Genomic DNA, 16,413 nt, shown 5'->3' on the forward strand with positions numbered 1-16,413 from the left:
CAAAAAAAAAAAGCAGATTTATAGGCTTAGAAAATGGAATGAAGCTGGTAATGTTTAAAAAAAATTATACTGAGAATGCAAAATCATTTTTGAAATTCTGGTCAAATTAATAAGATAGATATCTTCCCTCCATTACTTCAATGTACCATATTTTTGTTTGTTTGTTTGCATGTATCTGTGTGCCTCTCTGTTTGCTAAATTAAAAAAATTTCTATTTTGACAATTACATGTCATATTATGTTTTATTTTAAATTATTTCCATATGACCTTTGTGGAGAAGATTTACTTAATCATTTAAGCTTATTTTCTTTATAATAGTTTGAGTTGTTTCATGATCACATTCAACTTAATTTAACTTTATTTGAAATTGTTTCTCAATGTATTCTGGTTATTCTCATTAAGAAATAGGTGTTCAAAATACCATGTCATTATTAGCATATCTTGCTTAAAGTGAAAGCCATTGTAGCATGGTTTGCAATTTACTTTGGAGTAACAATGGGGTTTTGTGAAGAAAGATTATGTCTCAGATTTTATTTTAAAATGTTAGAATTTCAAGAGATAAATAGTCTTCTTGGTCTCAACTAGCATGAGAAGTAGAGGGGAAATATTTTCATAAAAAGTAAAAGAGACTAACAATTGTAGTTTCACGCAACCAATATTATATTAGTTGTTTTAAGACAATGACATCATGTAGCTGTAGGATGACAAAAAAAATGGCATTTTTCAAATAGCACCTTTCTCCATAATTTGTTTATTATAATTATTTGAATATGTGATAATTACTAATATTGTCATAATAGTCTGCCACATTTACGAAAACACTGGACGTTACCACCTCAGCATTTTAATTGCTCACCACAGTGCCATTTTCTTTAGGACTGGTTGTTTTGCTTTCAGTTTGCTTCCTAGACTATCATCATGAGATCAAAAGCTGTGTTTTTTATACCACATGACAGCCCGATGCCCCACACAGGGTCAGCATTAAACTGAATTTTTGATAGGATCAGGTGAGCCAAAGGATGAATAAATGAGTACTCACGTTCAGGTGGCATCAGGTGGGAATTGTGGCTAGGTAAAATGGCATCTTGTTACAATGGTAATTTCAGTCACCTATTCCTTACCTCTTCTGGGCAGGCGGATTGATTTGCAATTGGCTTCTTTTCTTCTTTCTCACTCTACTAATACTAGATGGAAATCTCATTGACTCTTAACAACAAAGCAATTATCTTACCATATTCACAGGTTCTACCCCACCTACTAGGGAAGTAAAAGTATACAGGTAGTGGAAATCTTGGGGCCATCTTAGAATCCTGCCCACCACAAGCAGCAAAATATTCCTACTCCATTATGTTTCCCATAGCTACCTTGTGTCTTCCAACTTCGTGTGAGTGGTGTGTTTGTTGCTTTGCTTATGGGCAAAGATGATTTTTTGGGGGAGATATTTGATTAACCTTCTAATTTCTTTTATCTTTGACACCTTCAGTCTTCCTTCATTTACCTTTATACAGACTTTTTTATAAGGCCACTTTTCTTTTCCTTTTTCCTTTAGGGTCTCTTCCCTTTGCATAGATTATTGGAACTCTCCACTTACAAAGACTAGCTTTTATGCTTCCAACTCTTGATATAAAGTTTTTATCTAGCATCAGAACTTGAATGTGAGTTGTCCATGTGTCAGAACTGTCTTTCAAAATCAAAAGTTTCACATACCATTTTCAATTAACCCAAAGGAAATGCTAGGCACCTATTTATTCCACAATTATTTTTAAAGTCTGTATGTATTAATTGTGTACATACTATTTTATTATTTACAAAGTGAGTTAAGCACAGTATTCCTGTTCAAAATATGAAAATAAGTATCATGGAAAAGTGGCAAATGTGTCTTGTGTTCCTTCATTTTTAGCACCTTGTTATTCCTTTTATATAAAACTCTGGTGTACACACAGTTTTTCCTCTTTTCTGGAAAATGTGAATAAATTACATTTCCTTTGTACATTCCATGCTGTCTTAGACAAAATCAAACACTTGAGTATAGAAATGAATTGTATTCCAGTAGTAGATAGGACAATTTTTCACTCCTTTCAACTTAGGCATTGTATTAGTTTTCTACAAATAACAACTATAGACTGAACGACTTAAACAACAGGAATTTATTTTTTCACGATTCTGGAGGCAAGGAGTACCAGCTCAAGGTATTGGCAGGGTAGGTTTTTCCGAGCCCCATCCTTTGCTTTGCAAATGGATATCTTCTCCCTGTGTCTTCACATGGTCTTCTCTGTGTTTTTGTGTCCTAACCTCCTCTTCTTATAAGGACACCAGTCACTGGATTCAGGCCCATCCTACTGATCTCCTTTAATTTAATTACCTCTTTAAAGACACTAACTCCACCTACAGTCGGATTTTGAGGTACTGGGAGTAAGGACTTCAGCATCTGAATTTGGGGGGAGACAATTCAGCCTGTAACAGTCATGATATGAATTAACTGCTATTGTGCATGAGATGTCTAACGAAAAGACAGAAAAGAAGTGTAAAGAAGTGATTACTGAGATCAACAAATGTTGCTATAGGACTGCCAGTCTATAGCTACTGCAGATATATATATATATATATATATATATATACATAAAACAATGTGATAGTGGGTGATTTGTAGATGGTAATAGACCATTCAGAGAAACAAGCTGAATATTTTCTTACATTGGAAAAAAAGGGGGACACAAAAGAAATGATTTCCCAGCATTTTATTAGATTCCATAAGAATTCTGAGCATCAAACTATACACTGCTATATATGAAGCCAGATCCAATGGGAATCTTTTGATTTTACATATCGATCACTTTCAAAATAAGGATACTAGCCTTATTTGCTGTGCAATATTATCATGACATATATTTTTAATTTATTGGGTCTTTCAGTTTTTGTGCATCTATAAAGCCTAATAGTTCAGCCTCTCTGTAGGCATCTTTGCTACTTCCTATCTGAGGAAATAATGTTTTATTATAAAATTACAATTTTTTGTAATTTAGATCTCTAGTTTCTAAGATAAGAAAACAGATCTATCATTTGGGGCAAGAATAGAAACAAAATAAACTCTCCTCTTAAAGCAAGGGAAACAACTTTCTGAAAAAAAAAATTGAAGACACACCTTTCATGTATTTTAGGAACATTTCACTTTTGCTCATCTTCTGACTGCATTGTGAACCATCATAGCTAGATCAAAATTAGTTATGTTAATAAACAAAAACAAAAATTCTGTCTATTTGCCTTACATTAAGAGATATCCTTTTGCCTGATGCAACAACAGAAACTAAAATCTCTAACGAAAAACATGCTGGCTTCTCTCACCATCGTTGTCCAATAGGAAGGAATTTGGTCAGGAGTAAAAATAACTCAGTTATGATCCATGTTATTACACTCCTCTGAGCTTCTTTCTCTCTTCCACATGTTGAATGACTTACTGGTTTATTTTTGCCACATACATAATGTTTGGCTCCTATCTCATGTGCAATCAATCTTAATTATTGGATCTCTTTCCCCCCTACAATCAGATCATTTTGATTATTACTTTAATTGTACATTCCCTAACTAACTTCTCTCTAGTTTGTTTTTAACTTCAGGCTACCTGTGGGCATAACGTTGTACAATTCAGAATGTGAATTTTACACTTAGCCTAATAACTAAATAAGCTTAGAAATTTAGGTACGGTAAATTAGGTCACTTGGTACCTTTTCGTACAAGGAAAGCAAACTTCTTGTGTGCCTAGGTGTTGCTTTTGGAGAAACTTTCCTGAGCATTGAGGAGTCAGTGCTAACTCCTGCAAGCATGTGAGTCTCTCCGACTCTGTGATGCCAACTTACCATCTTGCTGTAGTCGAAGAGCTTTAGGTTGGAGTGAATGGGTACCATCTTTGTTCTTAGAGGTGGACTCTAAGGACCTTGTTTTTGTAGGAACACACAAGGGCTATTTTAGTGTTAATTTGAACACATCAGAAGAGTTTACATCAGAATTTCAAAGAAACGTAGGAATCCTTGTTACCTTTAAATCTCAAATTTTCTCCATGATATAAAATATCAGTCTTCTTTTAAAAGATCAGAAATTACCCCAATGACCAGATCCAAATGCTGAACAACAAACAGTCCAGATTTACCATGAGGAATAGGGTTAATATTTGCTCCCCAATGACAAATCCCAACCCGGAACAGATTTCAGCCAGGCAGCTAGCAAAGCTCGCGGGTGAACTGCACAGGCCATGGTGGGTGCAGAGCTCAGAGCCGGAAAGCAAACAGCTGCTGTAGCCTGATTTGAGTTAAAATAGTGTGAGTGTTTAGTCTGGCGCACGGCTTCAGGGGAGATTGGCAGCTGGGTCAAACAAAGTCCTTCCATTGGCTCCCTTCCCAGGCAGCTTCTGCTAGTGTTTAGGTACTAGTGCAGTGTAGAACCCTTTTCTCAGGCAAAACCTAACATCTGACCGCACCCTTTTTGCTATTAAAAAAAAAAAAAAGCTTCTATTTTTTTCCTCCTGTCGTTAAGATAAATTCTCCAGTAGACAACCTCTCCCACTAATTGTGTATTAGCAACGTATTTTATCTTGAGAGCTTGTACACTGGGCTCTCAACGTGGTGTGGAAGGTAGCCTGTTACAGTGCTGGATTCATAAAAGGGCCTTTATGGTTTGTGAAAGAATATCTGTGTGCTTAGGGAGGAAACTTTTTGATCTGCAGAAAAGCCAGAAGACATCTAGGTAAGGCTACGATATCAAATCTACTTTTTTGGGGGAAAGTTGGGCAGTGAGACTGCTTAATCGCAACCAATGTGAGTTTAGAGGGTGCATGTTCACTTTTGTAGAAGTTCAAAATGTACTGACGATTGTTTGCTTATTTTTTGTTTGTTTGTTTAAATCTTAAAGGAATACTGTCGTCTGCGTTTTTACGATTTTGTTTTCTTCTATTGAACCCATTACAGTGGATATAGAGTTTTATTATATAGCGAAATCTTTGTAAACTGCCACAGAAAGAAAGTGTTATTTAGAAGGGAAATTGACAAGTTTTAAAGAGTAATTGTACAATCATTTGAGGACAGAGGAACACTGCATTATACTAATAAGGGTTTAATTACCAAAAAAAGTTTAATGTTGCTTTGGAAGGAATATTAAGTAAGTTGTCTTTGTCTCTTACTTTTTAATTTTAGTCGCTGATTTAGCCTGTTGGGTCACATTTTTTGTTAGTGCTGAAGGCTGCCATGAATCCGTAATGAGGCCCCTTTGCACATGATTTTGGCACTTGGCCAAAATCAACTTCCCAGCGGCAAGCTTTCTCTAAAGAACCTGGAGCAATTTCTTTCTTTTTTTTTTTTTTTTTAAATCAGGAATCATGTCTGAAAGCTGCCACAACCAGTTGTATAGGCATGTCAAAATGACTTTATACAGTCAATATGAAACAAGCATTAAATATTTTTTCTCATGTTGTTGCTTTTATCATTATGAATTCCTTGCTTGTTGCCACCTAAGATACGATGGAGCAAGCACAGTCTTAAAGAAGATTTGCTGATTTTTTGTTTTTCTCAGCAGACCAGAGTAGGTATGATCATCTTATTGAGAAGTATACAGTGCAAAAAAGGTTTTTCAAAACACTACAGGATAAATAACAAATGAATTCTTAAAACTGTTAATCTCTGTAAGTAATACTCAGTGAACAGTAAGTAATGGAGTTTTCTAGAAGTTTCATCGTGCGCGCAATTAAGCTTAACATTTTTATAGTGTTTTTGTCTATGTTAAAAGGTAGCATTTGGGATTTTTAAAAATGTCAGCATTTGCTATATAATTTTAAAAACGTATTAACACCTTGATATTATTTCTAACAAATGTTTTAATAGAAATGCTTGGTATATAAACATGGCTGAATAACTTTTAAGTAATTGTGTTTAATTGCTGTTTTGCAATAAAAGGATAATTTTTCATGAAATAAATTTTGAAGCTCAAAGGTACTTAACATCCAATTTCTGGAACTGTTATTAATTTTGATATTACTATAACTGAATTTTGTTCTGTAAGCCAATTTTATACTCTAGTGTTTTAAGAGTTAAATTCACGAGTGGCAATGAAATACTATAGCAATCAAATATTAACACCTCAAATTTTCTATAGCCATTTTCAATAATATCTTTAGACATTAAACATAGGTACTCTACAGAATAATTAGAAGTAGAAAAGTGTAATATCAGTTGCTCTATTTTGTTTTTTTAAAAGAAATTTTATTATCACTATCGTAAATACTATTATGCCTTGTGTGTTAATCTGTAGTAATCCAGAGTGCAACTTTATTTTACTAGAAACAGTCATATTTCTCTTTAAAATATTGATGAGAATCAGATACATTATTTTTTAAGAGTGACCTAATTAAGAGATTTCTTAATAGGCATGTTTATTCTGTATTTGTCTTCCCTTTACAGTATAGAATATTGCAAATTTTGGTGATAGAAAAAATCATATTAATTTTAGGTAAATTTTAGGATTAGAAATTGCCTCCTGATTTCCTTCAGGTCATTTTTTGTAAATATACAATTTATATTTGTTTTGCTGTGGACCAAATTATGATACTGTAAAAACCTTGCTATTAGTTTAACCGAGGAATGGAGTGTTTGGAATTTTCATACTAGTCAACATTAAAAGCCATAGAAGTTATAAATTGTTATTAATAGAAATTTACCTAGATAAGGTCTCTTTGTATGTGAGTTTACAGCTGAATTCTTATTTAATGTAATCTTTGTAATTTATATAAAAGCAGTTAATAAAGGTAAATATTTCAAAACTTGGATTAAAAACCAAACATTTTCACATTTATTATCATGAAACAGGTGCAGGAAAAATAAGATAGCTTCTCTTGTTGAGCATGATTCTCACTTAAAAATTAATTTTGAATTCAATTTTAATTTTAATTTTAGCTCTTACACACATCTTCTGTTTTTATTTTTTGATTATTTTGAATCAGTTGTTGTACTTAGCATTTGAAATTGATAGATTATTTTTCTAATATTTACTAAGAAATGTTTTAACTGAAAATTATAGGGTATTCTTTGTTAATCAGAGCCCATAGCAAAGTAAATGCCATCAAATATAGAACTTTTGGAGTACACAGAAGTGTTAGTTTGCGAGTTCAGAAGAAACTTACTTGTACACGATTACTGACAAATGTTTTTTAGTTGAGGTAGAAACAAGTAAGTATTAAGGACAATTTAAATTATCTTCCTTACTGAAATAGCTAAAAAAATTGCTTTCTTTTGCTATGGCAATGCGTTGTAATTATTTCCATAATCTAGGCTTTTTAGCAGAATTATTAGCTAGTTTTCCTTAGGACCAAAAATGCAAAACACTGATTACATTTCCTTCATTGAGTTAACATTTTAAAAATACTATATGGAAATGTAATTACTTTTAAAAAGAAAAATATTTTAATATTTTTGTTGAATTTCTTCAATTTATAAAGAATAGCTCGAACAAGTTTTTCGTTCATCTTTTCCCCCATACTTATATTGGAAATATTAAAATCTATGAAATTTTACAATGTGGAATCTCTTTTACTCTTCAGAAAAAGTTAAATTCATTTATAGTTGTCAATTCAAATTATGGACTTTTACCATTTTAAATGTGACAGGGTTTTTTGTTTGTTTATTTTAATTATGCAACAGGCACTTAAAATACTTTCTTTCCCTCCAATTAAAAGAGACATTAAATAATTAAACATCAACTTTTATTCTGTATTGAAAAGAAAGCTTTACCATTGCAGTATTTTATCCACAATTGTTTAAATGTGAGAAATGTTTACAACAGGGTATTTTAGGTGAGCATTTATCATTTAAATGAAGTGCTTTGTTCTGAGGAGTCTAAAATTCAGCAATAAGATAAATGCATTGCTACATTAGATTGAACATCATTGTTGAATTTTTGGCACAACTTCAGTGACCTCGGCCATAAAAACTAGTATAGTCAGGATGATTTGGAATTTGCAGTAACAAAACTAGATATAGAAGCACGTGAAGACACCAACCTTTGTTGTTTTGGAGAAAGTATGCACTAAAATAAAAGATGATACCTTTCATATAAACTGCTAATAATAATACTTTGTTATTTCATTAATACAATAAAAGTGAAATATTAAAACAGTAATTATAATCTGTAATGCATTTGTAAGGCTTTTCTCATAAAATTAACTGCCATATTTTACTCTTTTATTAGATGAACAAATGTCATATTTCCAAGCAGCCAACATAGAACTATAGCTTATATAACCAAATAATTTTTTAATGTTACTTTGATTTATATACAATTGATATTGTATAGAAAGAATCACGTTAGCTGATTTTAAGTCTTGTTCAAATAAAAGAAGCATTGATTTGCACTTGTTGCAATTTTTTTACTTTATATTGGTTTAATTTTAAAATTATCACAAAGTAAATATTACTGTTTGATATCATTCTTAAACATTCATTTTACAAGCCACCTGACCTATTAGCTGTTTAAACAATGATGATTTATATCTTGCTATAAATTCTTCTCTCAAAGTCAAGACAAATAGATCAGTAAAAGAACCTCTTTTTTAATGCTCAAAATTTTTTCTTAAAAAACAAAGAATTTTTTTAGTTTTCTTTTGTTTATGTGTTCATGTGTATTTGCCAACCTGTGTTTTTGCCTACATCCTGAAATATATGTCTTTTGAACTCGAGGTTGGAAAGTCTGATAGCAGGCTCTTAAGTTTATTCTTATTCCATATTATTTTTTATAAACAAATTTATTGAGTTTCTTACTGAGAGTAAGTCGATATATGAATCAATATTAATGATCACATCAAATCTGAGGATTTGCTTCCTTTAAAGCGCTGAATATTCAGCATAAATTTGTGCTAATTTACGTGTTTATAGAGTGATTCTAAATATTTGATTAGTATTCGTTTTAAAGATTTACTAATTCTTTGAAAATCTGGAGAACTATCGTTTGCTTAAAAAACTAATATCTACTAAAGTTGTAATTGTCTCTGCTTTGCTATTATTGAAATATTACATAATCTCTTGTTTAAAAATATCATGAGACTAAGCTATCGTGCCTTTCTTTCCATTTCTCCCACTAACATCTGAGGTCAACGTCTGTAAGAGGAAATATCTGAAAATATTTCAAAAACATTTTCTTTCCTGTGATAATCAACTGCTTTATCATTTGCAGAGATTTTGAAAGGAGTAACTGTTTTATTTGAATGCTTAGATAAATGTGAGGAATATATGGGCTTTCTGTGGACTTCAGTTTTAAAACTAAAATAGAAAGTAAGATGGAGAGTAATAAAATGATATATTTTATAGCAACTAATTACAACTTGCTGTTCATACATAAACAACACGCTGGAAAGGTAGACAGTGGGCTTTGAGAGCAGCTTTCATTTACTCAGTCTGTAAGAACTCGTGAAAATGGTGTCAAAGGGATGGTGGTGATCCATTCTGTATGGTCCATGGTGCTTTAAGCTTATACAGTCATTTACCATATTTAAATCCCCGAGTCTTGCCTCAGAGCCCCAATCACCAATCTGAGATATTTTTACAAGGAGAGAGGAGTTACACACTCATTCTTGTTCACTGGAGGATCTGTGATAGCGTTTCCTTGGCAGAAGCAGGGTTCTTCTCTGTATAGTGATTTTTTTTAAATCCCTGTTTAGGTAGTTCAGCTCGTTCAGTTGGACAAATCAGCATTATAACCAAGCTGACTCAGCCTTAGCAAGGATCACTAGTTTTTCATTTTGCCCTAAACCTGGGCATTTTCCTGAAGAATATGGACAGTTGTGCATGAAAGGTCAAGTTGCTAAAAATTATAGAACATGCATGTTCTACTTATGAGTTACTAAGTTGTGTTTTGTGTTCAAAATAGTATATATAAATACATGTTTTGTGTACAGAATATTTAAACAGTGATAGAAACAGTTGTTCTGAAATTTAAGTTATGGGATTGGCTTTATTCCAATTCTACTTGAGATGTCATCCAAAATTACTTTTCGAAAGCACTGCTTTGAAAATTTCCTGTTACAGTCTTCATGAAGTATAGTGATCTGGATATGAATTTTCTGCTAGTACAGGAGTTTGGGAAAAATACAAGTATATGACTATTGCATGTTCTGTGGGATTCTAATCTGATCACATGCTCTTTCCTCTCCATTCCTTGGGCCCATTCATAAATATTCTATGGAGAGTTATTTTTTTTTTCCTGTCAACAGCCAATTTTAGTCTTTATTTTAATTTATTTCTTTTTAGAGATAGGATCCTACTATGCTGCCAGGCCTGGAGTGTAGTGGCTCTTCACAGGTGTGATCATGGCCCACTATAGTCTTGAAGTCCTGGGCTCAAGAGATTCTCCCACCTCAACCACCAATTGTAGATGTATTCAGATAGCATGACATTTGAAAAAGTTGATGGAGAGAAAATTCCTACTGAAGTGTGTTATAGATATCTCTAAAACATCTTTGGTTGTCAGGAAATGAATCAATGATATAGAAACAAACAATGATTTGTAATCTTGGCAGATAAACAGAGAAATAATCAGTTCAGAATATTTATGGAATGATAACATTTTCCTGTTGATATATTTTTGTGCCAACAAATTTAATTTGGAAACTGGTATTTGTTACTAGAAGGCAGTAATCAATTTTGGTAATCAGTAGTTTTAAATGCTTTATTCAAGACCAAGGGCTGATTTATTGAATGAATAGGTCTTAGATAAAATGTAAGCTATTGGGCCAACCCATATCTGGAATTTGTTTTTATTTTCAATACCCAAGTCATTAAGTGTAAATGTAATAGTATTTGCATATTTTCAACTTTCAGATTAGTCATGTCTACCTTTGAAATTTGTTTTCTCCTTAGATAAGTAACTTATGAGTAATCAAATATCTTGCAATTTCCATTTTCCATCTTAAAGCCCGTGCAAGATCAAATTTGCAGTTGCTAAATCACATAAAAGTCTGGATTAATAGCAAAATGAGATTATGTAGCCCAAAATGAAATTATAAATAAAGTGCAGGTGTTTGCTAGGATTTGTGTGGTCAGATATACAAATAGAATCACAGGTAGAGTTTCTCATTTCTCACTTGAGAAAAGTGCAATTAAAAGTAATTTCCAGATGTTCAAATGCACAGCTGCTTTCTCCTAAACTAAATTTTGCAGAAATGAGCTAAATTATAATGGGTTTAAAAGTCACTACGTTTTAATGGTTTTTAAATTGAATTTGAAACATCATTACTAGGTTTACCAGATGAAGAGAGTTAATGCTTATGAGTACCTGGTACAATTTTCATTTAGGTGGCAGCAGAGCCATTAACGTATTGGAAATTATAATAAGACCAAAACTTACATTGGGTTTGAAAAAATTGATTAGTATGTGTGTTGATACACTCCATGCCTTTATGAGATTTATATTATATACTCTATGACACTATGAAAGTTATTCAGCTATAGGTGAAAGAAACGTGTGTATATGTTCATAAAATGGTATGTGTGGGGGGGAGGTGTGGGTGTGTATGTGTGAAAGAGATTTTTACATTTTCTTTGCCTAATGAAAAGGAAAATAGCAAGAATAAGATGCAAGTACACTGTTTGAAATATGCAAGTCTATTAAATTGTTTTTACATATCAAATTATAAGCAATGACTATGAACCTACATATCTGTAATATCAACTTAAAAAAATCCATCTATTTTACTCAGAGTTACTTACATGCCCAATAGCAATAAGCTACTGTCATAAATATTATCCCATTAAGTAAAGTCCTGTTCTTGACTAAGTTTTCTTGGGCTTGAAATAGGCTTTTCTTTGCAGCCAGGAATAGCCAAGTTTTTTCTAAAACTCTTACGGGAAGGCGTGTGGATGGTTAAACGAGGAATGGGAGGTAAAAAGTGGGGGCATTGCATTGGAATAGAGAATTAAAGAGCTTTTACCCTACGTAAGCTCAGAAATTTATCATTAAACAATCCATTAGTATTTCCACAACAGTTTTCAAAGCGCACTGCTGAAAGAATTTCAAAAATTTGACCTTGGAAGTGATTAGAAAACTGACGCATTAGTTTTGAGTATGATGGTAGAACACTTTATCCTATGTACGACGTTCTTTCAAGTGATTGACTCGTGCCCTTGAAAGCATTATCCATGGCCAGTGATTGATGGACTTGTTCAGGTCCTATGCAGAGTGCTTCATATATCTCATCTCAATCCTCTAAATAACCATGAAAGTTGATGATTATCTCATGGTACAGATGGGAGGCTAAGAGTGTTTAATTTTCCCCAAGTTCCAGTGCTAGTAAGTGTTGATGTCTGGATCTGAACCTGTGTTAATGGTGTTTCTAGTCGATGCTGTTATCTGTTGCACCACATTTTGAATAATCTTGGACTTTCAGAGTATGAAGGACGATTAAATATAACCCTTTGGTATAAATGTTCTCTCTCTCACTCCTCTGTAACAATTGGAGAAACAGAGTTCTAACAATATTAAAATCAGCCATAGACAGAGAGTAGTGAGAAATATACTTTTTTTAATACAGAAGGTTCCCTGAAGTACTTTTAGTATTATTCTAAATTAAGCAATAACCAATGAACAATTTTGGTCATAAGCAGTTTCTCTCCAGAAAAAAAAAAAAAAAAAAACAGATAATATCCATGAACAAAGGTTCTATAATGTGAGTCTCTTTTGCACATCAGTGGCTTAAAATAATGAGTAGTGGAATAGCATAATAGGGGGAAATACCTCTCAGACAGGAAATTGCACTAGCTTGTTTTGTCAACATATACATTACTATACCCAGAGACATACAAGAGTTAGAGACTCACGGTGAGTTTTCACTGTGGCCATCTGTGCCATCCCGTGCAGGACTCTACTGTGGCATTCCACAAAAGCAAATCCTCAGAAGCCTTCTCAAAGTGCTTAACTGCCTTGAAACAGGTGTTTCTCACTAGACAACAATGTCCGTTTACTTTAAAATTCAGAATTTCCCCATATCACATGCTTGTGAAGAAAGAAATTTGAACTCTATTATAGTCTAGTTGTTGGCAATTGTTATAAAAATTAGATTTCTAACCTCTATTGATAGCACTATACTTGAAATGAGAATGTGGGCATAAAATACTTCTTATAAACTTGTTTTTAAGTTTTATGTAATGTTGGCTGTTACAGGTCAAGATATGAACACTGAAAATTTTGGGCCAAAGTCACTTTTTCAACACTGGCCCATTTGAGTTGTTGATTTTAGAGCTGGGATCATTGAATGTTATTTTTTCATACCTTTATTTTATGCAACAGAAAATGAAGGCTTAAAGAGGGAAAAATGGCCTTTCTGCTCATGGTCATAATACTAGCGCCTGGAGAGTTGGCTTTGATCACAGATTTTCCTTCCAGTTTTCTATTCCTTCATTTATATAAGGCCATTTACCCTCTAAATCATTTACATCTAGTTATAAAATATCTTTTTCTTTTCCTAAAACTTTAGTAGTACAGAAATACAATTGAAGGAGATTTGGCTTCGTTGGTAAATGTAGAAATAACTAATAAGAGGTATTGAATATAAACTTACCCATAAGTTATTGTTTCTGTAAATGCACACGATTAAAATGTCTAGTTTGTAATTTCATTCTTGATGTATATTCTAGGGCACGCTGACATTTTAAAGAATTTTGTTGAAACGCCCACTGAGCGTGCTTTCTGAAAAATGAAGATTATCTTTTGTTTTTTTTCTTTTTTATGAGCTTTAAAAAGTTTTAAATAAAAGTTTCTAAGATGCATGATTCTTAAGCATACATCTGGATGAATGTCTTACATATGCATCCATATGTAGTTATAAACATTCGTACATCTTCTCCCAGATACCAGAATATAAAAATTTCAGCACTCCTTAGGACTCTCTCATCCCCCTCTGACACCTGTCACCATATATATTAGGTTTACCAGTCTTTGATTTCATATAAATAGAATTGCACAGTATGTATATATTTTTGTCTGGCTTACGTTACTCAATATTTTGTCCATGTGATTTTCCCATCTTGCATATATTGGTTGGTTGTTCTTTTTTGCTTTGCAGTATTTATTTGTGTGATTATGGCACAATTTTAATCTATTGTGCTGTGTTAGTACACTCGTTGGGTGTTTTCAGATGTCTGTTTACATAATTTTTTAAATGCAGAACTGGTACCAAAAATATAGTAGTCAGTTGTTTTCTTTAATAGATGAAATATAAAACTAGAATCACTTTAATTAAAGTACTACAGGCAGTTATTGCTTTACATGGTCCCATGCTAACTGAAATTCATTTATATTTGAACTCTGAAAAGTGATAACTCAGTATTTCTGAGTTATCTATGAAAAAAAATCCTGGAAAAAAGAATTAGTATGTGTTATCCTAAGTAGATGCTGAAGAACCAGTCCTGCAATATTTAAACTTTATCATCACCCATTTGCTCCTGTTATTTATTACATATATACAACTGTAATTATAGTTTGGACCAAATATCCATGTAGTTAAACTCAGTTGTCACTTTATTTTCTAAAACTCCTTCTGGATGGCAAAAATTTTCTGGTTTAAAGCAAAATAATTAAGCCATTGCGTTTTACATAGGATAGTTAGGGATGATTCTTAAATTTTTTTTTTTTTTTTTTTTTTTTTTTTTTTTTTTTTTTGAGACGGAGTCTCGCTCTGTCGCCCAGGCTGGAGTGCAGTGGCACGATCTCGGCTCACTGCAAGCTCCGCCCCCTGGGTTCACACCATTCTCCTGCCTCAGCCTCCCGAGTAGCTGGGACTACAGGCGCCCACCAGCACGCCCAGCTAATTTTTTGTATATTTAGTAAAGACGGGGTTTCACCATGTTGGCCAGGATGGTCTCGATCTCTTGACCTCATGGTCCACCCGCCTGGTCCTCCCAGAGTGTTGGGATTACAGGCGTGAGCCCCCGTGCCCGGCCAATTCTTAAAAATTTTAAACTCAACATTTTATGTACCATATGAGTGAAATGAGACCCAATATTTTTGACAATAGGGATAAATATTTGTTTGAAAGTAATGGGAATAGTTTTAGAGATATTTTCTAACTATTTTCTGTGATATTTTTTAACGGTTCCACCGTTGGTGTTACTATACTCAAATTTAAGATCTTTTCCTCTGCTAGGATAACACAAACATTGCTAATACAAAATTGTAAGATTTTTAAATTTTTCTTTTATTATGGAAAAAAGATTAAGTTATTTAGAAGTTCTTAAGTCACCAATCGAATATATTTATAAGCTTCTATTGAGTGTATCATCCAAGAGCTAATGAATATATTTATTACATTGACTATATTGATAAACAGTCTGGGGTTGTCATCTGGATATTTTTCACACTTGCTAGTAAGCAACTGCTTTAATAAAATAAATAACATGAAAGTAGTATATTACAATGTGGTTTGCAAAGCCGTTTCACATATACATATACACATTAACATTGAGAGGGAGAGGATATCACAGTCTTCCACCCCAGACAGTAAAATAATTAGTATCCTGTAGCTAAGAAAGACTGAGCTATGACCTGCACTGAAATTATTTTTCTACTGTAAATCTGTCATCTTTTATTGCAACAAACTACATCTCTGTAAATAATGGAACTTCATACAACAGATCCGTGGTGAACTAGTGGCTTAATATATCTCTCAAAATATTTTTTAAACAAAATATATTTTTTATTTGTATCTATAATGCTACAAAATTCTCATATGATCTGGAAATTTTCAACCATATATGATAAATGATTTATTTATCATTTAACACATTTTCTTGGAGGTTGTGTATTAAATACATTTTAGCCCCTAAAAATGGTAATATCACTTTCTAATTTTTTTGTTTGTTTTAAATAATCAGTTCAAAGTTGGCCAAGGTCAATGATTCTTAAATCCTATTATTATTTTTTGACAACTATACAATGCCTGATATTGATTCCATTCCTGATATCAGCTGGCAGTAAGCTTCCCTCTCAGATGAAGTGATAGATGGCCTGTTCATAATTCATACATGCAGTGGACACTACAAAATTCCACTGCTAGGCTTCTCCTTAATTAGACGTATTTGCATCTAATAGGAAGAGAAGACTAACTTTCCACCATGCTTTGTCCCTGTAATTGTATTCTAGGTATTAAAAACATTTTTAAACATGCGCAGTGTCTGAAGACCTGAATTAACAAACTCATGTGGACATTTGAAAATGTGTACCTGTTTGTCCTACTACTATGCTACATATGTTTGGTTTTGTAAAAATATGGGTGAATTCATAGTATTGTTCTTTTTCACTCTGAATGTCACCTTGTATCTATTGGTTTTTACTGACCCATGAAAATGGCTGGAGTTAGTCTGATCTCACCATGTAGAAAGGTCAGGTTCA

The 16,413-nt window shown here is 32.8% G+C and overlaps 1 long non-coding RNA gene across 13 annotated transcripts in view; it reads left to right on the forward strand.

Annotated features, from left to right (window-relative positions):
• The window catches only part of MIR99AHG (mir-99a-let-7c cluster host gene), a 561,240-nt gene that overhangs the window by 344,517 nt on the left and 200,310 nt on the right, over positions 1–16,413 (forward strand). For 3 of the 13 annotated variants that reach the window (NR_136545.1, NR_136544.1, NR_136546.1), the window contains exon 1: positions 4,199–4,737. The exons of 9 other annotated variants lie outside the window; for them this stretch is intronic. This is a non-coding gene — a long non-coding RNA (mir-99a-let-7c cluster host gene). Of the gene's footprint in view, positions 1–4,198; positions 4,738–5,290; positions 5,569–16,413 lie in introns of those variants that run through there. One more of the 13 variants, NR_136550.1, reaches the window with a different exon arrangement.

The sequence above is a fragment of the Homo sapiens genome, chromosome 21, assembly GCF_000001405.40.
Source record: "Homo sapiens chromosome 21, GRCh38.p14 Primary Assembly".
NCBI classification, from domain to species: Eukaryota; Metazoa; Chordata; class Mammalia; order Primates; family Hominidae; genus Homo; species Homo sapiens.